Source organism: Homo sapiens, chromosome 11 (genome assembly GCF_000001405.40).
Source record: "Homo sapiens chromosome 11, GRCh38.p14 Primary Assembly".
NCBI lineage: Eukaryota > Metazoa > Chordata > Mammalia > Primates > Hominidae > Homo > Homo sapiens.
In genome coordinates this window covers 33,929,646-33,957,237 of record NC_000011.10, presented here as the reverse complement: position 1 = coordinate 33,957,237, position 27,592 = coordinate 33,929,646, and the positions used below count along the sequence as shown (strand labels likewise).

The following is a 27,592-nucleotide window of genomic DNA, read 5'->3' as shown; positions in this document are numbered from 1 at the left end:
TGCTCCTGAGCGAGTCCAAGGCATCTGATGCCTTGATTGCCCCCAGTGACATCAAGTTTCAGTTAGTCTGACCAGCCTGAGCAAATTTCTTTGTTCTAGTCACCTCTGCTTCCATCAAAAATAACAGGTTGCTGAGAAGCTGGACTTCAGCCCTCCTGCTCAGATGAGTGAACACTGAATCTGCACTCAGAGCAGGCCCCTAAATTTAAAGAAGCCCTCGTGTTCTATATTTTGACAGGTCGAGAAATCTAATCCATTTATTTTGAAAACCCAGTAAGCCCAGCCAATATGGGATATTTAGAAAGGCCAGAATTTTGCTTTTGGTCAGAAGGTCAGTGCTGTCATAAAATAACGGCTAAAGGAAGTGAAACAAAACAGTTTATCATAGGGCTAGAATTCCCAAACATTCTTTAAAAATACATTTTCAGTTAAAATAAAACAAAACAAAAACACAGCATATTGAATTGGCGGAAATTGCCAGCACTCTACACTCTCTTTGTTCAGAGGACTTATTCAATTTTGTACCCCTACTTCTCAGAGCAGTGACAGGCACATAGTAAATGCTCAATAAATGTTTGATGAGTGAGACTCAAAATAGTTTACTTTGCTATTTAATATTTTTTCCCAGGTAATAGTTTCTCTTGTTCCCAATGGTGGTTAAATCGTCCTTAAGAAAATAACATCTGATTTTAGTGCTCTGGGGTTTTGGAAATGAGTGTCAGGATAAGTAAGTTTGATTCTTCTTGGCACCTTGAATTATGTTATTGATGATACAGATAACAGGGTCGTATGATAAGATTCTCTAAAGATAACGTATTTGACCATTTCAACCTTGTGAAAGGGGCATGGGAGATGTTATTATTCTTATGTCACCCCCAGGAAGGGTGCATAAGTACAGACCATTACTTAATAGAAAATAACACTCCTGATGTTCAGAAGATGGTGCAAGACCTTCTTTTGTTTTCCCTTTAAGTCACTTTTCAGTCTACATATAATGTCCCCTTCTGATGGGTATCCAGGTGTCTCTTTTTGGGTCTTCCCTCCCTCTTTTTTTTTTTTTTTTTTTTTTTTAAACAGAGTCTCACTCTGTCGCCCAGGCTGGAGTGCTGTGGTGCAATCTCAACTCACTGTAACCTCTGCCTCTCGGGTTTAAGTAATTCTCCTGGCTCAGCCTCCTGAGTAGCTGGGACTACAGGTGCCCGCCATCACACTGGGCTAATTTTTGTATTTTTTGTAGAGACACAGTTTCACCATTTCACTCAGGCTGGTCTTAAACTCTTGGACTCAAGAGATCTACCCACCTTGGCCTCCCAAAGTGCTGGGATTACAGGTGTAAGCCACCATGCCCGGCCTCCCCTCCCTCTTCTCCTACCTCCCACTATCTCCTCAATCCTTTCTACCCCCTCCCTCTGAGCTCCATCCTGGAGAATCACCAGAAGACCCTCAGGGTTCTAAGCATGGCTCCTGGCTTTACCATGGTGGGATGATGGCAGGCCCTAATCCTGCATCCAAAGATTTGATTCATATTCAGAGGGAGCAAGTTGATACCTGAGACAAGAGCTGACTCTTGGAGTCTTGAGGGATGCCCAGTTATTAGAGGTTCTTTTCTCTGCCTAAGTTGTGAACCAACTGATAAATAAGAGGAAGAGCCAGCTGATGGAGGCAGGGTTTCACCTTAGTGAGAAAGTGGATATTGGAGAATACAGCTTATAGCTATAGGCAAATAGGGCCCCTAACACAGAATACCAGAATTAGGCATTCTTACCCATGCTGAACTGTGGGAGGCTGCCTTTCATCAGGGCAGAACTTGTGCCCCAAAGAAAAAGGGAGGAAAAGGCACTCTCTTATGAATGCCCAGTTTCTCCCTCCAAACCCATCAGTCATAAGGTACTCTTCCCATCAAGGGAGGAATGAGTGAAGAGTAGGGAGAGGCCAGGAGTGTTACTCTTAGAGATGTCTCTTCCCGTGAGGAATCTTCAAGAAGGGGAGTGAGTATTTCCCTTTAACACATCATGTGACTTAGTAGGTAATGCTTAAAAATAAATAATTTTTTGCATAAAATCATCAGAATTTCTGGCTTTTTTTCACAAAGCCAGAAAGATCTGTCGGCACTGAGCCTGTGCTCCCACGTGGCACCACAATCCTGGAGCCGAGTTGCACCCATCCCTCTCAGCAGGTGTGTGTGATCTCGCTCATCAAGGCCCTATTGTATAGCTCTGGCTCTCTGATTGTGCTTATTTCTATTACCTGTCTGGTCCGTCTCGGCGTTTCAGTTTGCTGCCTCTGCTTTAAGTCTAGAGTGGAGTAGCTACAGGACCAACAGACCTGTCTCTTGCTACTGTTGCCCACTCCTACTGATCATTGTCTCATTTTGATGTGTTATGAGCTTAACAAAGTTTCAACGTTTTTATTCTGTCTTACTAGAGTTCTCTTCTATACCATAGACTTTGTGTTGGAGAAGATTAAGGAGGTGAAGGGAAAAGAAAATCCTGTTCTATTCGCCTATTAAATAAAGGAAGAAATGGGAGCCGGGAGATTAGGGAACTGATCAAGAAGTACTGCAGAAAGAAGACATCCATGCGGTCCTTTGCTGTCCTCTCTCCTACACTGCAGCGGTGGCCATTTTTGCTTCGCTGGGCTCCACGGATCTGGAGGAGCAACAGATCTGCACATCTGAATGTGAGTTTTGGAAGCATACTTTGCCTCCTTAGGGTGACAAATTCATCAGAAGCTCCGGGCTGATTGGACTCACAGCTGAAAAGGAGTGGTAATAACAAGAGGAGGTGTCAAGAACCTGTTTCTATAGCCTTCCTGCCACTCCTCTGTTTCTTCTAGATGGGCAAAGGGGTTAATTCAGGGAAGGAGCAGGGCAGTATGAAGCAAGCGAGACCTCCTTCACACATTTCCCCTGTCACCCCACCCACTATCTGTAGACATACTTGGACTGTCCTCAGAGACTTGGCATAAATCAGAGGGGAAGGTGGTTGCTAGGATAAATGGATGAATGGATAGACGTGTAGACCAATGGACTAATGGTTAATCCCAGAAAGTTTTGCAGCGATACTCTATGTGTTTGCAGCAGAAAACATTTTTTTTTCTTTTTTGAGGTGGAGTCTTGCTTTGTCACCCAGGCTGAAATTCAGCAGCACAATTTCGGCTCACTGCAACCTCCACCTCCCGTGTTCAAGAGATTCTCCTGCCTTAGCCTCCTAAGCAGCTGGGACTATAGGCATGCACCACAATGCCCAGCTAATTTTTGTATTTTTAGTAGAGGCAGGGTTCCATCATGTTGGCCAGGCTGGTCTCGAACTCCTGACCTCAGGTGATCCACCTGCCCAGCCTCCCAAAGTGCTGGGATTACAGGCGTGAGCCACTGCAGCCAGCCCAGAAAACATTTTAATTTGTTCTTAGAGTCCTACTTTTAACACCTGAGGTTCATATATCAAGGCTGGAAAAAACTTTCTGTCTTCAATAAGAAGGAAGTATTAATACAATGGAGATTAACAGTATGGGTTTAGGGAGCTACTTGCTTCTTTTTAAAAATATGTATAGAACAGCTGAAATGTATCATTTGCTTCTTTTTAACATCTCTGAGCTTCCATTTCTTCATGTATAAAATAATAATAGTAACTTTCTCAAAGACGGTTGCTATTAGAATTAACTAAAATACTTTTTGGAAAATACCAATAACTCTGTGCCTGGCAGACAGGAAGCACTCAGGAAATGATAAGTCTAATTCAATAGAAAGAATTTTGTTTTGGCTGGGCGTGGTGGCTCATGCCTGGAGGCCGAGGCGTGTGGATCACTTGAGCTCAGGAGTTTGAGACCAGCCTGGGCAACATGGCAAAACCCTGTCTCTACAAAAAATTAGCCAGGCATGGTGGCTCACATCCCAGCTTCTTAGGGGGCTGAGGCGGAAGGATCATCTGAGCCCCAGAGGTCAAGGCTGCAGTGAGCCGAGATCGCGCCACTGCACTCCAGCCTGAGTGACAGAGTGAGACCTTGTCTCGAAAAATATATAAAAAATAAAAATTAAAAAAATTCTGTTTTACATTAAGCACTCATTACATGCTTAGCTCTATCACGAGAATTAGTGTGTGGTGGTGGGTACTGACAAAATTTGGGGGGAATGGACATCTGCAGGGTATGGTGGTGAGATAAAATACAAGGACATACTGATGTAATCATAATTAAGCACGCTGACGTGCATTCTGGTGGGTGGTTGGAAGAGGAGAGCGCTCCTGTGGCAGGAGCTGTTGAGAAAGGGATTGAGTAGGAGGAAGGAAAGGGGGTGGGGGTGAGGGGATTCCAGGTAAGGAACAACACACCCAAAGGGAGGAAAGCAGGTATGACTGTGCGGTTTGCTGGCCACAGCAAGGGAGGAGATGGATAGAGTTATAGCTGCTTGTCCATTTAAAAAAAAATTTACATTTTTAGTTTTTGTGAGTATATAGTAGGTGTATTTATTTATGGGGCACATGAGATGTTTTGATTCAGGAATGCAGTACATAATAATCACATCATGGAGAATGGGGTATCCATCCCTTTAAGCATTTATCGTTTGTGATACAAACAGTTTAATTAGGTGTTTGTTTGTTTGTTTGTTTGAGATGGAGTCTCGCTAGGTCACCCAGGATGGAGTGTAGTGGTGCAATCTCTGCTCACTGCAAGCTCTGCCTCCCGGGCTCAAGCAATTCTCCTGTCTCAGCCTCCCGAGTAGCTGGGACTACAGGCACATGCCGCTATTCCCGGCTAATTTTTTTGTATTTTTAGTAGACGGGGTTTCACCATATTGGTCAGGCTGGTCTCGAACTCCTGACCTCAGGTGATCTACCCACCTCGGCCTCCCAAAGTGCTGGGATTACAGGCATGAGCCACCGGGCCTGGCCTAATTAGTTATTTTTAAATGTATAATCAAGTTATTATTGACTCTAGTCATCCTACTGTGCTATCAGATAGTAGTTCTTATTCATTCTTTCTAAATAATTTTTTTTTTGTACCCATTAACCATCCCCACCTCTCCCCACCCCCCCTACTATCCTTCTCAGGCTCTGGTAACCATCCTGCTGCCCTCTATGTCCATGAGTTCAATTGCTTTGATTTTTAGATCCCACAAATAAGTGAGAATATATGATGTTTGTTTTATTGTACCTGGGTTATTTCACTTAACTTGATGACCTCCAGTTTCATCCATGTTGTTGCAAATGACAAAATCTCATTCTTCTTTGTTTGTTTGTTTTTGAGACAGTCTCACTCTGTCGCCCAGGCTGGAGTGCAGTGGCACGATCTCGGCTCACTGCAACCTCCGCCTCCCGGGTTCAAGCAAGTCCCCTGCCTCAGCCTCCCGAGTAGCTGGGTTACAGGCATGCACCACTATGCCTGGCTAATTTCTTGTATTTTTAGTAGAGACAGAGTTTCGCCATGTTGCCCAGATTGGTCTCAAACTCCTGGCCTCAAGTGATCCACTCACCTTGGCCTCCCAAAGTTCTGGGATTATAGGTGTGAGCCACCGTGCCCGGCCTATAGTTTTCATTATAGAGATCTTTCACATCTTTGGTGAATTCCTAGATACTTAATTTTATATGTGGCTATTGTAAATGGGTTACTTTTAAAATTTCTTTTTCAGATTGTTCATTGTTGGCAGACAGAAATGTTACTGATTTTTGTATGTTGGTTTTGTATCCTGCAACTGTACTGAATTTGTTTATCAGTTCTAATTGATTTTTGGTGGAGTCTTTAGGCTTTCAGACTAAAGACTCCACCAAAAATCATATAGCATATCATTCTGTTGATATGATGTATCACTAATTGATTTGTGTATGATGAACCATCCTTGCATCCCAGGGATAAATCCCACTTGGTCATGATGAATGATGTTTCTAATGTATTGCTGAATTTAGTTTGCTAGTATTTTGTTGAGGATTTTTGCATGAATGTTCATCAGAGATATTGGGCTGTCATTTTCTTTTTTTGACATGTCTTTGTTTTGGTATCAGAGTAATACTGGCCTTGTAGAATGAGTTTGGAAGTAGTCCCTCCTCCTGTATTTTTCAGAATAGTTGGGTAGAACTGGTATTAGTTCTTCTTTAAATGGTAGAATTCAGCAGTGAAGTTATTGTAGGCTTTTTTATGGCTTTGATCTCGTTACTTGTTATTGGTCTGTTCAGGCTTTTTTTTTTTTTTTTTTTTTTTGAGGTGAAGTCACACTCTGTCATCCAGGCTGGTTGCAGTGGTCAATCTTGGCTCACTGCAACCTCTACCTCTCGGGTTCAAGTGATTCTCCCGCCTCAGCCTCCCAGGAAGCTGGTATTACAGGCTCACACCACCATGCCTGGCTAATTTTTGTATTTTTAGTAGAGATGGGGTTTCACTATGTTGGGCAGGCTGGTCTTGAACTCCTGAGCTCAAGTAATCTGCCCACCTTGGCCTCCCAAAGGGCTGGGATTACAGGCATGAGCCTCTGTGCCTGGTCTGTTCAGGCTTTTTATTTATTCCTGGTTTAAATCTTGGTAGGTTGTATATGTCTAGGAATTTGTCCATTTCTTCTAGATTTTTCTATTCATTTCTTTTTAACCCATATGCAGGAAACTTTTCCTAAGAAGCTGCCTCCTCACTAGGTGCTTCTGATTGAGTCCTGCCACCTGCTGACATTTTATCTGGCTTAATTACTTAAACCTCTCTGAGCCTCAGTTTCTGCTCTGTAAAATAGGAAGAATTCTATCCATTTCATTTGATATTGTGATGTTAATGTGATTGCAAACATGGAGGTCTGTGTAAATCGTAAAGCACTGTACAAATGCAGGTTCCAGTTGTTGATGGCTTCTCACCTAGCAGTGGCAGGGAATTGTTTAAAACATGAAGCAAATTATTCCCCTGCTGAAAATCCAGGCCTCTTACTATGGCTTACTAGACCTTATACAACCTGGCCCCAGGCGCCTACTCCAGCCTCATACTTCTCTCTCCTTTGTTCACCATCTTCCAGTCACACTGGCCTTTCTGTTCTACCAAGGGCTAAGCCATTCCTACTTCAATGCCTTTGCATTGTCTGTTACCTCTCCCGGGAGTCCATGGCTGGCTCCCTGTTTTAATTTAGGCCTCATCTGTGATGCCATCTTCTTAAAGAGCCAGTCCTGGGCCATCTGATCTAAGGTACTGTCTACCCCATCCCAGCCCCGGCTCAGCTTGTTTCATTTTCCGCATGGAGTTGATCACTGTCTGAATGTGCCTTGATCATTTGTCATTTACTTGCTCATTAGCCGTTTCCCTCTCCCCCCAACATAAGTTCCTTCTAAAGGATTTGGTGAGTCTTGGTCACTACTCTACCAGTATATCAAATAGTGCCTATCACCAAGAGGTGATCCAGAAATATTTTTTGGGCAAGTTTAACTACAGCCCCCGTCACCTCCCAACACTTTTCAACAAAAGCTAACAAAGTTTCATTCATGCAAAAAATGTTTACAAGTCACCACAGACTTCTAAAATGGGAGCGTTTTGAATTATGTCACACTCATTTAACTCCTGCTACATTTAAGAATCAGGAATCCTGAGTCAGAATATGACCAAGAAGGAGCCAACAGAATAAGTTGGCCTGTCCATGGTAGCACCAATCAAAGCAAAATGCCTCAAGCTTACCGATGCAGGGGCAGACAAGGATGGGGCCGTTGGCATTTAAGAGGAAAATGGTGGGCGGCAAGTGGGATTCTTAGGGCAACAAAGCCAAGGGGGTCCAAGGAGGCCTTTGCTGGAATTGGCAGGCAGTGACTGTTTAGTGAGGTAATTTGTGCCTGGCTGGCTCTGCCCACAGAGATGTCTGTCGGAGGGAGGTGTTGGCAGATCCACGATGTCCCATGGCTCAGCAAACTGCTGCCACTGCTTAATGAGCCAATCAGCCATTAAAGGGCCTCCCGTACAATGGCAGCATTTGCAAAGTGAGCAGCTGAAGGAACATTCTGGAGAGCAGAGGAGTTGAGTGTTGACCAAAACCCTCCATGTCCTGCCCACTCCCCCCAGCTCTTTGCCCTTAGCTCCTAATACTCTCCCCTTGTTCACTCTGGCTCCAGCAGGGCTGGCGTCCTTACCTTCCCTCCAACCCACTAAGCCCATACCTATCTCAGGGCCTCTGCACTGAACGTTTCCTCTGCCTGGAACTCTCTCCCTCAGATGCTTGCCCGGCTGACTTCTTGACTTAATTTATGTTTTTGCTTCAATCTGACCTCCACAGAGAGGCCTTTTTAGCCTGTTTAAAAAGAGCCTGTCTAAAAAGAGTAACTTCCCTCCAGCCACACTCAAGTTTCTTTCCCTCATTTATTTCTCTTCAAATAAACCTGACAGTTTATTGTAATCTATTTGCTTATTTGCTTATAGGTGATCTCCAATCCACCTGCCACTCTGCTACTTCCCACAGTCTAGTTAGTGTAAGTTTCTGGAGGGTGGGGACCAGGTTTGTTTGTCCTGCTTAGTGCTGTATGCCCTGAGAACCATGCCTAACTCAGAATATCAATCGCAAGTATCTGTTGAATTTGTTGAACAAATGAATGAATGAATGAATGAATGAATGAATGAGATAAAGTGCAGAGCACGATGGGCTGGGTAATGGGGGGCACTGAATACCATAAATGGGTACAAATGGGCAAGGGGTTTTAAGAATTTGTTAGGACCCAGGCACAGCCACATCCCACACTAAATATATATATATACACACACATATATGTATGTGTATATATATATATATGTATATACTTTCCCTTTAGAAAAAGTAGACAAGATTTTGATAATTGTCATCTTTAAAATTATTTATTACACAAATACTGCATGTTCTCACTTATAAGTGGCAGCTAAATAATGAGAACACATGGACACGAAGAGGGGAACAACAGACACTGGAGCCTACGTGAGGGTGGAAAGTGGGAGAAGAGAGAGATCAGAAAAAAAAAAATCTATTGGGTGTAGGTCTAGTACCTGGGTGATAAAATAATCTGTACAACAAACCCCCATGACATGAGCTTACCTATATAACAAACCTGCACATGTACCCCTGAACCTAAAATAAAGGTTAAAAAATTACTTGCTTACAAATACATTTATTTTACAATTGGCTGGAATGATGCAACAGTCACCATGCACATTCAGAAATTATTTCAAAGTGATTTAAAAAACCCTAAAATTGCCGGGTGCAGTGGCTCCCTCCTGTAATCCCACCACTTTGGGAGGCCGAGGTGGGCGGATCATGAGGTCAGGGGTTCGAGACCAGCCTGACCAACATGGTGAAACCCCGTCTCAATTAAAAATACAAAAATTAGCTGGGCATGATGGCATGTGCCTGTAATCCCAGCTACTCAGGAGGCTGAGGCAGGGCCTCCGGAGGCGGAGGTTGCAGTGAGCCGAGAACGTGCCACTGCACTCCAGCCTGGGCAACAGAGGGAGACTGTCTCAAAAAAAAAAAAAAAAAAACCCTAAAATTATTTTCTACTGAGATGAAATTACAAAGTTTAACAAATTAATTTTTTAAGGCATTGTTGGAATATTTATTAATTTCAATTCTTCTTTTCATATTTTGGTATCAGTTAAAACATATTTTTCAGGCCTAAACTTTATCCTGGGACTTAATCTGAAAGAGCCTGTAAGCCCTGAGCTTTGTGCCTAAAGCCTCTGGTGACTGAAGGGGCCTGGGGAGGGAGGACCTGTGTTTGGGGAAGATCCTGACTGGTGGTCAGGAGGGTCTGCAGCTATGGGAACCCCTCAGGTGATATCACCTCCACCCAGAGGGAGGAAGCTGGGGGTCTGGCAGTGGGTACTGGCAGCTGGAATGAAGGGAGGGAGGTGAATGCAGGAAAGAGTCCAAAGACAGGGACACTTCCAATCCAGGAGATAAAGGAACTCTAGGAGAACAAAAGGATGGTTGGTTTCAAATCCCAGGGGGGTGGGTTTGGGGGAAGAGGATAGGTGGGGTTTGGGATATATTAATCAGAAGGGCTGGGGTGTCATTTTCCTTATCTGTAAAGGGGACATATGAGGGCTCTCTGGAGAAACAGAACTAATAGAAGATCTATCTATCTATCTATCTATCTATCTATCTATCTATCTATCTATCTATCTATGTAATGAATGAGATAAAGGCCTGAAAAGAATAAATACAGGTATATATTGAGGCCTGAACAGAATATATATAGATATCTATGCATATTGAAGGCAGACAGGCAAGCGTTCCCTGTTGCTCTCAGGATGGTCCATCTTTTTGTTCTCTTCCGGCCTTCGACTGATTGGATGAGGCACACTCGCACTGGGGAGGGCAATTTGCTTTCCTCAGTCTACCAACTTAAATGTTAATCTCACCTAGAAACACCCTCACAGACACACTCGGAGTAATGTTAGACCAAATATCTGAGTACCCTGTGGCCCAGTCAAGTCGACACATAAAATTTACTCTCGGCCAGGCATGGTGGCTCACGCCTGTAACCCCAGCACTTTGGGAGGCCTAGGCGGGCAGATCATGAGGTCAGGAGATCAAGACCATCCTGGCTAACACGGTAAAACCCCATCTCTACTAAAAATACAAAAAATTAGCCGGGCGTAGTGGCGGGCGCCTGTAGTCCCAGCTACTTGGGAGGCTGAGGCAGGAGAATGGCGTGAACCCGGGAGGCGGAGCTTGCAGTGAGCCGAGATCCCGCCACTGCACTCCAGCCTGGGCGACAGAGCGAGACTCCGTCTCAAAAAAAAAAAAAAAAATTAAGTCTCATGGGTGTTGGGGGTGGGAGAGTAATACCACCTATCATGTAGCATTATGAGAATTAACTATGGGTATTAAATACTTAGCACAGCATCTGGTACATAATGAGGGCTCAACAGTTGGTCACCGTGGTTATTAATTTTATTAAAACAGAAATTTCTGGAAGGTGATTCCCCTACTAAGATATGAAAGCATATTTACAGCAGTGCAGTGCCTTTTCTGTGTAAACACAGAATAAATATTTGTTGGATTGTTGAGTTTACAGAAAGTCTTGTCAAAAGTTGAAAAGCTCACATATTCCTTCCTGGGATACTGACATTGCTCAGATTATTTATTTGTGTGGGCCACGAGCAAGCCCAGTTCTCACAAGGCCCTAAAAAAAGCACAAGATAATCATTACTTTGGGCCCTCTAGTGCAAACTTCAACTCAGGAAAGCACCAGGCCCAGGGAAAAATGTGGCAAAGTTGTTGAACTCCATGTTTGATTACAGGCCTCTCACAGCTGATAAGATGCAGAGCTTATTCCAGGACTATAGGACTCAAAGAGCAAGATTTTACCCACTATACTTCCTTCCTATGACATAAACTTAGTTTTGTCAGTTCTCTCACCCATCCAACTAGGAGAACAATATCCATCTTTTCCACTCCTTTGAGGGCATTCCCAGGACAAAAAAATTATGCACATGAAGCATTATATAAACTCTGGAGAGCTACATAGTTAAGAGATTCCATTCAGGGTATTATTCTAATCAAGGGCAACGTGGTCAACACATGCATACATTCCTGCATTCACATAACTTTATTAAGCACCTACTATGTGCTGAGGACCATGCTAGGCCCCTAGGCAGTGTGGGGTGGGGGCTGGGGAGTAAACGTGACACCCACTCTCTCCTTGGGTGCTTTCTCAGCAACGCCTTCCCTGCTTCCCACAGTCCTGGATGGGATTCTTAGCAAATCACTCCTTCAGAACTTTGCTCCCTTTCTTTGTAACATTTGATTTGGTTTGTTGTTCTGTACCTATTTTAGTAATTCTTTAATTAATGTATGTCTCTACCACTTAGATCTTAAGCTCAGCCAGGGCAGGAATCTGCAATCTGCCTGGTTTTGCTCACCGTGATAGCCCCATGCCTACCACAGTGCCTGGCACACAGTAGGAACTCAGACACAAGTTGTTGAATGAATATATGGATGGATGGATGGATGGATGGATGGATGGATGGATGGATGGATGAATGAATGAACGAACGAATGCTTTCTAAGTGCCCAGGATATAAAAAGCTAGACAAAGTAACTTAAGGCTCAAATATGCGTGATAGTCATGACTGTTCAATATGACTTCGGACCAAGGAATTTGGACTGAAATGCTCATTAGAGAGCAACTAAAAGCCAAAGTCAGCTATTCCCTTTGAACTAGGTATGACAAAGTTGGGACTGGATATTATCTTCTGAAGCAGCTAACTGTTACATGAAGACAAGGGAGTGGGAGGTCTCCTGGGCCCAAATCAAATGCATCAAAGACCATAGTGTCCCTTCCCCAGATCCCAGATGTTCACACAACATGGCCAGAGAGATTAGTACTGGTCTTCCTGTGGCTCCCTGATGCTGCTATCCAGCTGTTATCTGGCCCAACCTGCTGCCAGGCCTTGGGGAGGCTGAGCCACAGCCCTGCCTCAGAGGGGCCCTGTCATCTTTCCATTAAAGCTACCTCCATTACTTCTAGTGACGGAAATGTTCTACCAGCTACAGGGCATTGGGGTGTGCTTAGTCTCCAGAACCACCTCTCATTAATCAGCCACCTCCAACCATTTTGGTGCCATAGGGGCAGAGATTCACCTCCGTAACAAAATATATGAAACTTGGATGGTGTTTCCTGTTAAACGAATGAGTCTTCTGATTTCTTTGATCTCACCCTCCTACCAGACAGAAATTGATAAATGGGGACATGTTCCAATGAGAGTGACCAGCCTCATGGACTGGACTCACAAGCATTCTGGATGGAGACATCTCGGAAGGAATATACCAACTCTTTTGTAATATTTGATGAGTTTCCACACAGAAGCAGTGTTAGACCTAAATTTCCTATGGTTCTGGAGAGCACAGCAAAAACTAAATGATGGCTCCAGAGCAACAGCATTTAATTCAAATAAAAGAAGAAATCTCTATCAACCAGAATGATCTGAAAACGAAATGGACTACCTAGTTGAGTAGTGAGTCTCCTGTCCAAGCCTTACCTGGGTATGAGTTGTATATTTCATTCTATTACACATATAATAAGGGACGTTTCGTAGGTAGGCTATTCCTGAGGAAGGTCTGGACACTGAGAAGTAGGGAAAAGGGATACTCTAATACAAATAAAAATTAAACATCATTAGTAGCTCCCTATGTGGGTAATGAGCACTTCCATGTACCAGCACAACAATCCTGTGCAGTGAGTCCTATAATTACCACCATGATACAGGCAAGGAGACTGAGATGGAGACAGGTGTGTAACTTGTCCAAGGTTGCACAGCGAGGAGGTGCAGAGCTGGGACTCAAATCCTAGCAGCCAAACTACCACCCATTATGCCAGAGTACCCGCTCCATTCCTACTTCCTCTCTACCTCCCCAGTCCCTTCTATTATAGTATAAAACGACTAGAGCTTGAAAAAGAGATTTCTGGACAGGCACGGTGGCTCACGCCTGTAAATCCCAGCACTTTGGCATTTTGGGAGGCCAAGACAAGAGGATTGCTTGAGCCCAAGAGTTCGAGACCAGCTGGGCGACATAGTGAAAACTTGTGTCTACAAAATAATAATAATAATAAAAATGCCGGGCACGGTGGCTCACACCTGTAATCCCAGCTCTCTGGGAGGCCGAGGCAGGTGGATCACTTGAGGTCAGGAGTTCGAGACCAGGCTGGCCAACATGGTGAAACCTTGTCTTTACTGAAAATACAAAAATTAGCTGGGCGTAGTGGCGCACACCTGTCATCCCAGCTACTCAGGAGGCAGAGGCACAAGAATCGCTTGAACCCAGGAGGCGGAGGTTGCAGTGAGCCAAGATCCTGCCACTGCATTCCAGCCTGGGTAACAGAGCGAGAACTTGTCTCAAAAAAAAAAAAAATTCTACCAAGAAAATTCATCAGAATGGGCCCCAAACTCAGAATAGTAACTAACAATTAAAAAAGACCTAAATCAGGGGAAATGACCATGCTTGAGTACAATTTGCAAATCACCTTGAAAGAGAGAGTATGTCTTCCAGAAAATCGAGAGCCAATTTTAAAACACCCACATCCTCTGGGCCTCTCCCTCCTCCCCAAAGTTTCTTCTGGCCTTGCTCAGGCAAAAATCCCTTTGCCTTCATTTGCATTGTTCTTGGGAGGGGGAGAGTGAGCCAGCTCTGAAGTCACTCCTCTGAGAAGAGAGCCAGAATCACACCACAGTCAGTGTGACCAGCGTGACCTCCGTGGGAATTTGGCTGAAGCATCCAAAATGAGTCAAATGAATTAATCAACTCTTCCCCTAGAGAATGCGGACACTTGATCCTTCACAAGAAAATGAGGATGCCCCACCCAGTGGCAAGAAATGAGGGCACTGGTTACCAAAAGGAAAATAGAAAAATGGGAAGAACAGTGTTTTAAAGTGCATCTACCTTGTTTGACCCTGAGCTTGGGTGGCAGACCCAGGTGGGTCTGCCAGGCCACCATCATTTGTCAAACTACATTCACCCTGGACATTCAGGAAGGCCCTAAAACTGAAACAGCATCTCCCAACAGCATCTGGAGGACCACAAAGAATTTCTGTGGGGCTACATCATTTTCCCCAGTGTTTCTCTATGCCTTGCAAAGCAGTTGATTATGAGGATCCTAGGCTCTTTTTTTTTTTTTTTTTTTTTTTAAGGGATGGGGGTCTCACTCTGTCTCCAAGGCTGGAGTGCAGTAATGCAATCATAGCTCACTGCAGCCTCAAAATCCTGGGCTCAGGGGACCTTCCTGCCTCAGTCTTCCAAGTAGCTGGACTACAGGTATGTACCACCATGCCTAGCTATTTAAAAAAATTTTTGGAGAGATGGGGTCTCACTATATTGCCCAGGCTGATCTTGAACTCCTGGCCTTAAGGTATCCTCCCACCTCAGCCTCCCAAAATGCTGGGATTGCAGGTGTGAGCCACCGCCCTCTGCCAAGGATCTGAGGTTCGTGAATATCCCAGAGCCCTGATACAATCTAGAGGTCACATTGTATTAACTTTTTCTAACTCCTTCTTCCTTTGAGCCACCTCATGAAGTGCCTACTTACTTGGGGTTTCCATTCTAGGCTGCAGGGGTCCTACCCATTCCCACATCATCACCTTTCCACCAAGGAATCTGAGGGTGACCTGGATAGTCATGATTTTTATTTAGCAAGACAGTGAAAATAATTTTCATCTCAATGAAATTTTAAGACCAAGCAGATTGTGCATAGCCCTCCTTGGCCTCCTGGGACCCCAGGCCACTGTGGCCCCACTAGCAGGGAGGAGAGGATGACTTTGCAATGTAAGGGCTATTCGTCATTAGAACAACAAGGCCAGCAGCAGCATGGCTCTGGCCTTATCGGAGCAGGAGGCCTCGCTGGATTCTATTAATTGCCGAATGCTGTTGGGTTTGGCAGATACAGGAAGCAGTTTACATGGCTACACAGTGCCCTGGCTCACAGTGTCTCTGAAATGGTATTATTGTAGTGGGATAATTGTGATTAGGGACAGTTCCCCGAGGAAGACCAGGCCTTTGATGATTGAGTCACTTCCTCTCTACTCTACTTCAGTGTGATAGCGTGGCTCGCCCCACAGACACACACACCCTTTGCTGGCCAGAGAGCCCTGAGTCCCACAGCAGGGTTCCCAAACCAAGAGCCAAGAGCTGCATCAGAGCCAGGATCATTGGAGAAATGGAAGCAGGCTAGAGACCACCCCCCACCATTTTTTTTCTTTTTTAGGTCATGATGACAAGCAACCTGGTTAATGATTTCAGTTGTAAATGTGTCCCTAACTCCTACGACAGCATGTGCTTTGGAGCTGGAGGAACCAGGCTCTATGTTTACTGGCTGTGTGACTTTGAGAAGTCCATTCTTTGAGCCTCAGTTTCCCCATTTGTAAAGTGAGGATGATAAGAGAATCTACCTCAAATGATCATTGTGGGGGTTAAATGGGATTACTTTAACGTTTGTAAGCACCTGATAAATGGTAACTATATTATTATTATTGCCATTGTTGTTATTGCCACTAAGTACTGCCCCCAACCCCAAGCAATAATTTCCTGAAGGCTGGATCGGGGTGCCTCTGCTTGGTGGAAATGCAGCCACCTCAGAGATGAAGGCTGAGGAGGGATGAAGCTGGCCTGATGAGAAGGCCTGGAGTAGAGCCACATCCCAGTCTCAGCTGCCTTAGGGGCCATTCCCCAGGCCTGAGCTCCCCGGGAATCAGAACCCACGTCTCTCTCTGTGCACTTGGCAGGCAGTCTCTAATCCTGCTGGGTGCTGCCGTATCACCCACTCTGCCCAAGGGCTTTTTGTTTGTTTATTTGTTTGTTTGTTGAGACAGTTTCACTCTGTCACCCAGGCTGGAGTACAGTGGTGCGATCTTGGCTCACTGCAACCTCCACGTCCGGGGTTCAAGCGATTCTTGTGCCTCAGCCTCCCTAGTAGCTGGGATTACAGGTGTGTGCTACCATGCCCGGCTAATTTTTGTATTATTAGTAGAGACAGGGTTTCACCATGTTGGCTGGGCTGGTCTCCAACTCCTGATCTCAAGTGACCCGCCCACCTTGGCCTCTCAAAGTGCTGGGATTATAGGTGTTAGCCACTACACCCGGACTGCCCAAGGGTTTTTATCCAGGACAGCCCCTCATGAGCTTCACTGAATCATGCATATTTCAGCCTCAGTCAGGCTTCTGGGAGGAAAACACCCATCTGTGCTCCTGGGTGGGAATAGCATTTGCCTAGACAAAGGACTCTGCCCTATTACTGGAACCCTTGAGTGGGCCCTGCAACTGCCTTGAGGTGTGAATGGGGCTGGGCTGAAGCAGGGTGGGGTTGGCCTGCCTTGGACCCTGCCTTGCAGAGGTTGGAACCAAAGCAGTGTGGCTGGCAGCATGTGTGAGCTCAGAGTCAGAAGTCTTGGGCTCATACCTGCCACTTACTAGTTGTGTGCTCTTAGGAAAGTCACTTTTCCTCTCAGAGCCTCAGTTTCTTCATCTGGTAAATGGCGATAAAAATACCTCTCTCAGAGCACTGTGGTCAGGATGAAATTAGATCTGTATGCAAAACACTTAGTGTAGTCACTAGCACGTAGAAAATGCTCAATGCTCAATATATGGTAGCAAAAGGAGGTAAGTTTGCCAAAGAGAGCACGAAACCCCACTGACAGGCTCTCAGCCCCAGACAGGGCAGATCTCGCACTGCCCCAGAAATGCTTCTGGGACCCAATGTGTTTCAGGAACTGTCTGCCAGAACCAGAGTCCCCAGACATTGGGAATATTCAGCAAGCTCTGTAAGGGCAGAGACCATGTTGATTTTGTCCTACATCCAGTACCAGTGTATCAGTTTCTTATGGCTGCTATAACAAATCACCACAACCTTAGGAGCTTAAGACTGTGCAAGTTGGCTGGGCACAGTGGCTCACGCCTGTAATCCCAGCACTTTGGGAGGCCGAGGCAGGTGGATCACCTGAGGTCAGGAGTTCGAGACCAGCCTGACCAACATGGTGAAACTCTGTCTCTACAAAAAACACAAAAATTAGCTGGGCATGGTAGCGGGTGCCTGTAATCCCAGCTACTTGGGAGGCTGAGGCAAGAGAATCACTTGAACCCCAGAGGCAGAGGTTGCAGTGGGCAGAGATTGCGCCATTGCTCTCCAGCCTGGGCAACAAGAGTGAAACTAAGTCTCAAACAAACAAACAAACAAACAAACAAAAACCCAGTGCAAATGTATTATGTTAAGTTCTGCAGGTCAGAGCCTAAAATGGGTGTCATGGGGCTAAAATCAAGGTGTTGATGGGCTGCATTTATCTGGAGTCTCTGGGAGAGAATCTGGAGGTTATCTGAACTCCTTGGGTCCTTGCTATTGTATAACATAGCATATCCACAGGTTCTGCGGATTGGAATATGAACGTTTTGGGGGAGCCATTATTTTGCCCCTTCCTCCAGCTTCAAAGTCAGCAGTATATATCTTCCAACTGGACTCTGATTCTTGTTTATAAGGACGCTTGTGATTGTATTGGGCCCACCTGGATGATCCAGGATGCTCTCCCCATCTCAAGGCCAGCGGATTAGCAACCTGGTTCTATGTGTAAACTTACTTCTCCCTCACTGTTGTATAACATAACATATCCACAGGTTCTGGGGATTGGGATTGGAATTTTGAGGGAACCATTATTTTGCCTGCCACACCTAGTATGAAGGAAAGTAGAGAAAATGCCAGATCAGAACACCGACTGTGCACTTATTTCGGACTGAGCATCCTGCCAAGGAAGGCCAGTGGATCTCACAGTCTACGCCAGGACACAAAGCATTCACTTGTGAGGATAGTCATGAGCACATTACAAGCTGTTACGACTTAGAGAGTGCTGACAGTTACAAAAGTCCTTAGGATGCAAAGAATCTCTGGTCAGTGCTCAACAAATTATTATATTTATTCAGCAAATATTCTGAGCATCAGTTAGGTGCAAAGTGCCAAGGAGGCAGAGATGAGTAAGATTACTATCCCTGCTCTCGAGGAACTTGTAGGCTCAGGAAAACCTCCTGGAAGAGGTAAGGATGGAGCCAGGATTGAATACAGGAGAAGGTTCAGGTGAGGGGAGAGCATGATGGTTGTGTGAGGTAGTACACATGGTGGTTTCGAGGGGAGAATCTGCAGCCAGGACTGCCTGGGTCTGGAGTCTGGCTGTGCGGTACACTGTGTGACCTTTGGCGAGTTTCTTAACTCCCTTATGCCTCAGTTGTCTCATTGAAAAGTGGTAATAATAATAGTAGTATTGTCACAGGGTCATTTTGAGGATTACAGGATTTAATATACGTGAAGTGCTTAGAGCAGTGCCTGGCACATTGCAAGCACCATGTAAGTGTTAACTAATATGATTATCTCCCTTTTATCCTTTTCTTAGTCTTACAATAGCAAGGAAGGAGTGAGGGATATTTCAGCAGGTCCTGGAAAGGAGACAGTTATGACAACTCATGGTCTCTGGTAAGAATGTTGGGGGTAGAATTTTCTGTTTTGAAATCTCCCAGCCAGGTGCCGTGGCTCATGCCTGTAATCAAGCACTTTGGGAGACCGAGGTAGATGGATCACTTGAGCCCAGGAGTTCGAGAGCAGCTTGGGCAACATGGTGAAGCCCCATCTCTATTAAAAACACAAAAAATTAGCTGGGCATGGTGGCATGTACCTGTAGTCCCAGCTACCTGGGAGGCTGAGATGGGAAGAGAGCTTAAATCCAGGAGAGAGAGGTTGCAGTGAGACTTGATCACACAACTGCATTCTGGCCTGGGTGATGGAGTGAGACCCTGTATAAAACAACAAAAACAACAACAACAAAAACCTAAAGTGAGAAGAAAAAAAAAGTTTTAACTTTTGGCTGCTGGGTAACAAATTGTCTTCATGCAGATTTCCTTATGATCTTCTCATATAAATGGACCAAGAGACACCGAGTTTGATCTGAGCAGCTACAACTTGCCCCAAGTAGGCCAACCTTAGGGTTGTGATGTGTGGGGGTTGTTGTGGGTTGGGGAGAATCAGGAGAGCCAGGAGCTCCAAGCCCAGGCTGGAGCAGGGGGCCCAGATTCCCTGGGAATACATCCCCTTCGGCCACTGGAATCTTTTACCAAACAGATCTGGAAACATCATCCTGGTCCTAAGTACTCACTCTTCCTTAAGCTCAGGGCTAATGGTTGATGAGTGAGCAAACGTCTCCGTTATCACAGAGGGCTAAAACTGGATTTGTTTAAAGCGTTTTCTCTTTGGAGGTGCAGTAATTGCTCTCCGATCAGACAGGAAGTCCTATTGCTCGAAAGGAGCCAGTGTTATCAAGAGAAAACACATCAGCGCCCGTCCTCTCGGGAAGGGAATTGTGAGTAATCAACAAGGCTCCTCTCCAGCTGGCCGTGGGGCCTTTGTTCAGACGCGACAGGTCAGGGAAAGTTTGAGCAGGCAGTGCTTTTAAGGGGTGGTGGCAATTCCAGTTCTTTCTCTTCATATTTTCCTCCCCAGGGGACAGGCTTTCCCCAGGGAAAGGGACTAACCTGGTACATTGTTCTGAAGCCATCAGACAAATCTGATTACATCACTCTCCCACTTGAAACTCTTCAAGGGCACCCTCGTTGCCTTCAGGATCAAGTCCAATTCCTTAATCTGGTCTATGAGGCCCTTTATCACCGGGGCTTGAGGGCACACCTCTCCCTCCTGCTGTATCTATCATCACTCCCAACCAGCTCTCTTCCTGGCCCCCAGTCCGCTCAGTGCCTGGAATGTACTCTCATCATGCCTGGAGCACCATCTCTACATGCTGTGGTGTGCTGGGTCTAAGACACTGCCCATCCATTCAGAACACACATGCAGACATGAGAGGGAAGTCTTGTGAAAGTGGAAAAATGAATGAGACAGACCTGACTGTGACAAACTTCTGCAAACCAGCCTCCAAAACCCTAGTAGCTGATCTCAGCAAGGCTTTTTGTGTGTTATTATTCTAGTCTGTGTGCTTCTTGAGGATAGGAGAAACTTCCAAGACCTCCATGTCACTCACCAGAAGATACTACTGATGGTAATAATAAGACTGACAGTAGACGTTTTGTAAGTGCTACAACTAGTAAGTATCATTCACTGAGCATGTACCATAAGCCAAGCTATACTGAAGAACTGAAGACTTCATGTGTGTGCCTTATCTTATTTAATCCTCGCAATGACTCTATAAGGTAGGTTTTTTTTTTGTTGTTGTTTTTTTGTTGTTGTTGTTGTTGTTTTTTGACAGGGTCTTGCTCTGTCACCCAGGCTGGAGTGAAGTGGTGTGATCATGGCTCACTGCAGCCTCAATCTCTCTGACTCAAATGATCCTCCCACCTCAGCCTCCCGAGTTGCTGGGACCACAGGTGCATGCCACCACACACACTCAGCTAATTTTAACTTATTATTATTATATCTTTTAGGGATAAGGTTTCACTCTTTTGCCCATGCTGGTCTTGAACTCCTGGATTCAAGCAATGAGTTAGGCAAATATGCCCATTTTATAGATGAGGAAGTTAAGGCTTACCAAGGTGACCATTTGCTCAGGGTTATGCCGCTAACAGTGGTGGAACAGATACACATATCCAGGTTTGTCTAAGCCCAGACCCACCTAGAAGTTGAATTCCAGACCCATACTGCTTCCTACGTGTAGACACATGCATGGAGGGTCCAGGAGGCAGAGCTGCTGCAGGGCTGGGAGGCCCCAGGAAAGGCAGGACAGACATGATCAGGGTAGGGCGTCTTTTGTTTGGCTTTACTTCAAACAAAGACAACAGCAGGGAAACTGAAGCCCCCAGCTTCCCTTCTCTGAAGACCAAAGCAAGGCCAAAAATAGGAGAGACAGGAAACATTTGATCCCAACGTGTCAAACAAACATAAATATCCTGTCAATTTTGCCATCAGGGAATGTCTGAGAACAGCTGCCACGCAGGGGCTAGGTAAGAGGTCGGCCTGCCGAGCTGTGCCCAGCCAGGCCCTCTCAAGTTGCCATGGGTCTGGGGTCTGTTGTCACATTGGACAGCAGGGCATCCAGGATGCTTTGAGATTGCTGTTGCCAAAAGAATGCACCTTGCTGCCCTCCAACGACAGGAGGCCCCAGCTGCTGGCTCCACAATCCATCACTGTGTGCTCCAAGGCCCGGTCTCCCGCAAGCTGCTTCCAGATGACAGAATGCAGCAGAGAGGCTAAAGCAGGCCTGTTCCTGGAAGACACCGGACTCCTCTGATAGCCAACTTTGGCTCAAGGACTCCGTGATGGCCTTTCTGAGCCTTCCTTAGACTGCAGTACAGTCTAAGTTGCCTCCATTTCACCCTCCTTCTCGCTCTTCCTCACTCAGAGTCAGACCTGCCTCATGGGGCCTCCGAGGCTCTCTTAGCTTTTCCCAGCTCCCTCACCATTTTTCTCACAGGCATTTCTTCTTGTTAAGTCCTCACATGTTCAATCCTTTCCTGGGATCTGCTTCTTGGAGAGCTGCACTAACTCCGAGAACACCTAGTGGTTGCCTCATTTTATAGTTGAGAAAACAGAAGCTCAGAAAGGCAAAGGGGTCTTTGAGATGTCACACAGTAAACTCACGCAGGGCAGGAAATGGGTTTCCCAGCTTGCAGGCTAGACCCACTTCCTTTACATCACCTGTGTCTGGAAAGGGGTAAAGGGTGGGAGAGAAGTGATGAGCCATGTGTGAGCGTTTCTTCAAAGTAAGGCCCCTCACACATTCACTTGTAGCTTCCTCTAGATTGAGGGCCACGGAAGGCAAAGACAGTGTCTGTCTTATTCACCCATTTGTCCCAGACACTTTAGTCTCCAAAGCTTGGGCCCTTGCCCACACTGCTGCCTGACATAATCAATGCGACAGCACCATTCAAATGAGAGGGGTTTTTTATTGCTTTTGCAACTGGGGAAAGGCAAAGTAGATAGACAGACACCCACAAATGAGTGTGTGGAGAGCACATCAGAAGATGGCTAGGAAGGGGTAGGGATCTTCCCAATGGGAGAAAAGCCAGCATCAGCATTTGCCCAGGGACCTCTTCCTGTTGGGGCCTATGCTGACCTGTCAGGAGGCCTCCTACTAATTTCTTCTGCACCTGGCTAGGAGCGGGGGCTGTTTCATGGCTTCCATCATGCTAATTGCCACCATCTCCCCAGTGACACTGAGCTCAGTTCCTGATAAGGTGCTTCCTTAATAGTCTCCCATTTCCCTGCTGATACCAGAAAATAGGCCTGACTTGGCAGTACGTTAACAGCACTGAGCAAGGCAGAGCTGTCACACCCAGCCTCACAGCCTGAACCATTAGTGGACCTAGAATCAATAGTGTTCAGACAACCCTCGTTTCCCTGAAAGCATTCGCTTGGCACGTTTGCTGTTTATCAGGCAGTTCCTTTCTCAAATGTCCCACGGTCTGTGGCCCTGGCACCCAAGACTCTCCAACTTTCAGAAAGTGCTGAGGGGACTTCGCAAATTTCAGGCAGCATCAGCTTTCTCTCTTTGGAACAAAAGGAGAATAATAAGATTTGTGTTTGTCAGCACCAGCTTGTAAGTAATGACAGTTTTGGTTAAGTTTGTTGGTTGCAGGTAACAGAAATAAACTGTGATGGACTTAAGCAAAGTGAGACTTAAAGGAAAGTCTCTTCGGGACTCGGTGGGCTAGATCAGCACCAGCCAAGCTTCTTAAGATTCAAGTTCAAGGGAGTTCAATATCAAGTTCAAGTTCAAATTCAATATCAGTTGGGTCTAGTTTCAGTCATTTGCCTACCTTTTGGTCAAAGGAGGTTGGGGCAACTAGATGGTCTGTATCTAGCAAAGGTGAGTGATGATACCAGAAAGAGAAGAGAACAGATGAGGGTCTGGCCAAAATAATAGAAGCTCACTAGGTAGACAGCTGAGAATGTAGACTCAAAGGAGGTGCTGATGGCCTGGTGTATGAGGTAACTCAGGCCCCTTCTGGCCTTCAGACTTCTCTTCCAGACCTGTGTGAGGAGTAAATGATATACCCTGTGGAATGTGCCCGGCACTGGAAACATGCTCAGTAAGCAATAGCTAGTAGCCTTGGTGCCTGAATTACTGCTTTTGTAGCATAATTTTAAACACTAGACAAAGTTAAAGCACCTGGTGGAAAGCTGGAGGCATGACCTAATTATTGTCTTGAAATCCATGAAGAATTCTGATAAGTGTTGTGACCAGCACTTTAAAAATAAATAAATACATAAATAAAGATTGCTGCTAATATTAACAGGTAATAGGAACAACCTGAGATTTTTGAAGACTTGTGTGAAACACTAACGAAGAACTTGCAGCCTCTGAAAAGAACTATAGAAGAGCATTGTGGGCCCAGATTCTCAGCAGATATTGTTGAACAAAACAGAATTTTATCCACTTGGGATACCTTAGCCCTCTGGCAGCACCATCATACAGAATTTGGACTAACTGCTTGTTTAACAGCCTGGATCACCTTCTAGACGACCAGCTCCTTGAAGACGGAGGGTAGGGGCTGACATCTGCTCATTGCTATATTCTCGGGGTCCCACACAGGGTATGGGACACAGATGTGCTGAGAAAATATTTGCTGAATGAATAACAGAGGGTTGATAACCTTTCAAAATCACTGGTTTTTGCAAAGGGTTACTACAGCCACTGCAACCACATCTACCTGTAGAAACAAAATAAAATCAACATGGTGGCACTTTTGGGGCTGCGGAGCTGACCCCATAAGGTTTTCTTATCTTAAGCCTTGTACTGCTTATTGAAGTGGAGGGGAGAGAGAATGGAGGTGCTATCAGGGCAACTCATGACAGAGGTGGGGCCTGGAGGAGAGGAAATGGAGGGCAGAGGGCGGGGGTGTTAACAGGAAATTCCTGTGGGGACCCAGCGGGTGGGACTATTGCCAGGAACTTCATTTAGTTCTGACCTGGAACTGTGGACCAGGGTCCCTTCCTGACTCAAATGCCCATAGGCTGGAGGGAGGGAGGGAGTCTGACCCTATGCCACCCTCTCCCCCTGCCAAAAACATTCCATAGCAATGCAGGACATGTCAAAAGCCATTCTTGACTAAAGGCCACGCACACGATGAGGGAATAAATGCTATAGGCGTTCAGATGAACAGGAGATCACTGTGGCCGGAAGTGGTCAGAGATGGTAAGAAGTGGGATTCAGGTTGGCCTTATGTGATGGGAGAGATTTGCATATGTGGAGAAAAAGGAGCATAGGCAGGAGATAGAGCCCGAACAAAGCACGAAAGTAGAAAAGTACAGCATGTGCCTCTGAGGCCAGCGGTTCTTGGCAAACTCAGGAAAATGAGTAGTCAGAGAAAAGGTGAGACGGGGAGGCTGGGGTCAAGCCCAAGAGATCCATTAATGTCAAGTTAAATTGTTTTTGATTCATCCGTGTTGGATACAGTGAGTTCTAGATTTCTCTTCGAAGAATCAGTATGTCAGTATGTTCAGTTCTTTGTCCTCCATTTTAAAGTTTAACTTCCTCATAGTTTCAGTAAACAACCTTTTCCACCAGTTTTAATCAGTAGTTCACATCTGTTCCCCTGGTCACCTGCTCCGTCCTGACTCATCCCGGTCACCTGCTTTAACCTGAGTCACTCCTGGTCACCTGCTCTGACCTAAGTCACCTTTAGTTACCTGTTCCGTAACTGTCTTTCCCGCCAAACTGCTCACCCCACCACTCTGGCTCATACGCCTGCTCTCTTTAAAATAGTCAATCGGAATTAGCTTAGACTATGCGGTCCAACCCTAGCCAATAGGGGAGCAACACAGCTGTAGGGGCTACCTGCATCAGAAATAAGAACCCCTTCCCCTCCCTTGTTCAGGTGTGCTTTTGCCATTACTCCATCCGTGAGTCGCACCCTTCTATAGAAGTAAAAATTGCCTTGCTGAGAAAATTAAATTTATGTTCGAGTGCTATTTCTTTGTGGCACCGAGGAACAAGCATTTTGCCTCTAACAATCGTATATTTATAAGTACTACCTACATATGAAGTAATGAACAAATGAATAACTCATTATAAAAAAGAACAGAGGGTGAACAGGAAGGAAGGAGATGGCTCCTCTGCTGTTTGAATAATTCTGTCCAATCCAGCAAGGATAAAAGGCTTTAATAGCCTCCCAGGTGCTCCCCTCAATGCCTCTGGGCTGGCAAGCGCCTGTGAGCTGCCATCCACAACTCTGGCAGAGGAGGTGGCCAAGCTCAGACAAAATGTGCAGTAGCTTCTGGGGCATTGAGTGAAAATCTCTAGAAATCTTCTCTCTCCTATCAGCCAATAAAGGGGTTCAACCAAGTGGGTTATCTTGGTAACTTAAGTAAAATAGGCTTTTTATCTTGGGCTAATTTGGTGGGGGGGAGGCTGAGAAGATCCCTGCCTCCAAACTGCCCACACCATTCCTTGATCCAGTGGGGTAATGCCTGGAATTTCATAATCACAGCTTCATGTCTTAGCTAGAAGCTGTGATTGCTAGCATTGAAAGCTGTCATCAGACTATTCTATTCTACCCTACTGTAAATGAAGAATCTGAAAGCAGGTTTTGACAGGAAGGCTGGAGAGGGAAAGAAAGATGTAATCTGAGTACTTAAGGTGGAAGATTGTCAGGGTCACAGGGAGTGGGAGAGACAGCAATGAGAAGAGCTGGAATCGAGACAAACCTTGCCAAGGGCAATTTTGCTGAGTTCTAGCAAGGAAGGAATCCTAAGACCAGTCAGAGTGTCCAGTTATTAACAAAAATATTTCATATACTCAGTCCGATTATGGCATCAGCCAGATGATTTAAATGACTGCATTAGGCAGCTAAATCCATAATCGTTGGCCCCGCTAACACATAGGGAACTTGGCTAATCTTAACATTAGCAGGTTGCAGCGCCTCGTCAACAGCTGCCTGCTACAGAGTGTGACTGATGCTGTTCTCAAGATCCCAAGGAGGCCCAGGGAGTTCAGGAGGATGGAAGTGTTCATTCTTATTATAAAATCCCCTGAGAACAGCAGGCTGTTTAAAGGATCAGTGTGTGGGCCATTTTTCTTCTGAGGAACTTGCCTTACAGTCTCATGCTGCATATTTCCCGGTCATAATAGTTTGGAGAAAAATATTGCTAAATGGCTGCATAAACAATTTTAATTGGCCTGGGCTCCCAAAATGTGCTATTTTTGTTCTGCTGCCAAGCTTGCTTTTTTACTAGCTAATTATGCCCAGCATTTAACTTTCGGCAAAAAAACAGGAAATAGGGCATTCATTACTCGAGTGACAACTTTTCAACAAGCCCACATTTCAACATCCATTGTGTAATTTCCTCTCCCTAGCTTACAGTTAGTTGTTCCACCAGGCCTTTGGAAACAAACAGCTCCTTCAGTGGGGGCTGGTAGGGGCTTTATTCAAGTCTAAATGCTCTCCTATCTCCAACACAGGCAGAGGGACAGGCTTCCATGAGCCACCAGTGCCTATGGGGTGGGTCTCTTTCCTTGTTTGGGCTCCTCACAGAAATCCCCCAACTGGGGTTTCTGCTGGTCTCAATTTGCTGCCAGATTGGGCTCTATCGTCAGGAGCTGGGCTGTGCTTGTTGTTTATGTGGCACCCAAGGTGCCTGGGGAGTCAGGCAACACTCAGAGGGATGCTCTCTTGTCCCTTGAGGAATCCTAAGAGACAGTGAATCCCAGTTTGTTAGGCATTAACTCCTAGAAAGTGCTGTAAAGCCATGTCTTATTATATGATCCATTTTAAATGTATTATATGATCCATTTTAAATTTATTATATGAAAACATTGTATTGTAAAGTATACAACATACCTAGAAAGTACACAGCTTATTAAGTGTATAGCTCATGAATTTTCTTTCTTTTTTCTTTCTTTTTTTTTGAGAGGTCTCTGTTGCAGGCTGGAGTGCAGTGGCATGATCTCGGCTCACTGTACCTCTGCCTCGGGGGTTCAAATGATTTTCATGCCTTAGCCTCCTGCACAGCTGGGACTACAGGCGCCTGCCACCTTGTCTGGCCAATTTTTGTATTTTTAGTAGAGATGGGGTTTCACCATGCTGGCCAGGCTAGTCTCGAACTCCTGATCTCAAGTGATCCGCCCACCTCGGCCTCTCAAAGTGTTGGGATTACAGGCGTGAGCCACCGTGCCCGGCCTCATGAGTTTTCATAAAGCAAACACCATG

At 45.5% G+C, this 27,592-nt stretch overlaps 5 annotated features.

The window, feature by feature from the left end:
• Positions 10,928-14,499: an enhancer, noted in NCBI's record as "VISTA enhancer hs1858". NCBI's record gives its function as "enhancer in: heart[4/7] | liver[4/7]" and the evidence as "EXISTENCE:transgenic organism evidence [ECO:0001131][PMID:17130149]".
• Positions 11,980-12,603: a transcriptional cis regulatory region, noted in NCBI's record as "candidate enhancer chr11.1735 targeted for multiplex CRISPR interference". NCBI's record gives its function as "positively regulates APIP, CAT, LMO2 and NAT10 gene expression with high confidence in K562 cells {active_cell/tissue: K562}" and the evidence as "EXISTENCE:mutant phenotype evidence [ECO:0000015][PMID:30612741]".
• Positions 15,096-15,693: a transcriptional cis regulatory region, noted in NCBI's record as "candidate enhancer chr11.1734 targeted for multiplex CRISPR interference". NCBI's record gives its function as "positively regulates CAT and LMO2 gene expression with high confidence in K562 cells {active_cell/tissue: K562}" and the evidence as "EXISTENCE:mutant phenotype evidence [ECO:0000015][PMID:30612741]".
• Positions 19,520-20,267: a transcriptional cis regulatory region, noted in NCBI's record as "candidate enhancer chr11.1733 targeted for multiplex CRISPR interference". NCBI's record gives its function as "positively regulates LMO2 gene expression with high confidence in K562 cells {active_cell/tissue: K562}" and the evidence as "EXISTENCE:mutant phenotype evidence [ECO:0000015][PMID:30612741]".
• Positions 24,204-24,353: a transcriptional cis regulatory region, noted in NCBI's record as "candidate enhancer chr11.1732 targeted for multiplex CRISPR interference". NCBI's record gives its function as "positively regulates LMO2 gene expression with high confidence in K562 cells {active_cell/tissue: K562}" and the evidence as "EXISTENCE:mutant phenotype evidence [ECO:0000015][PMID:30612741]".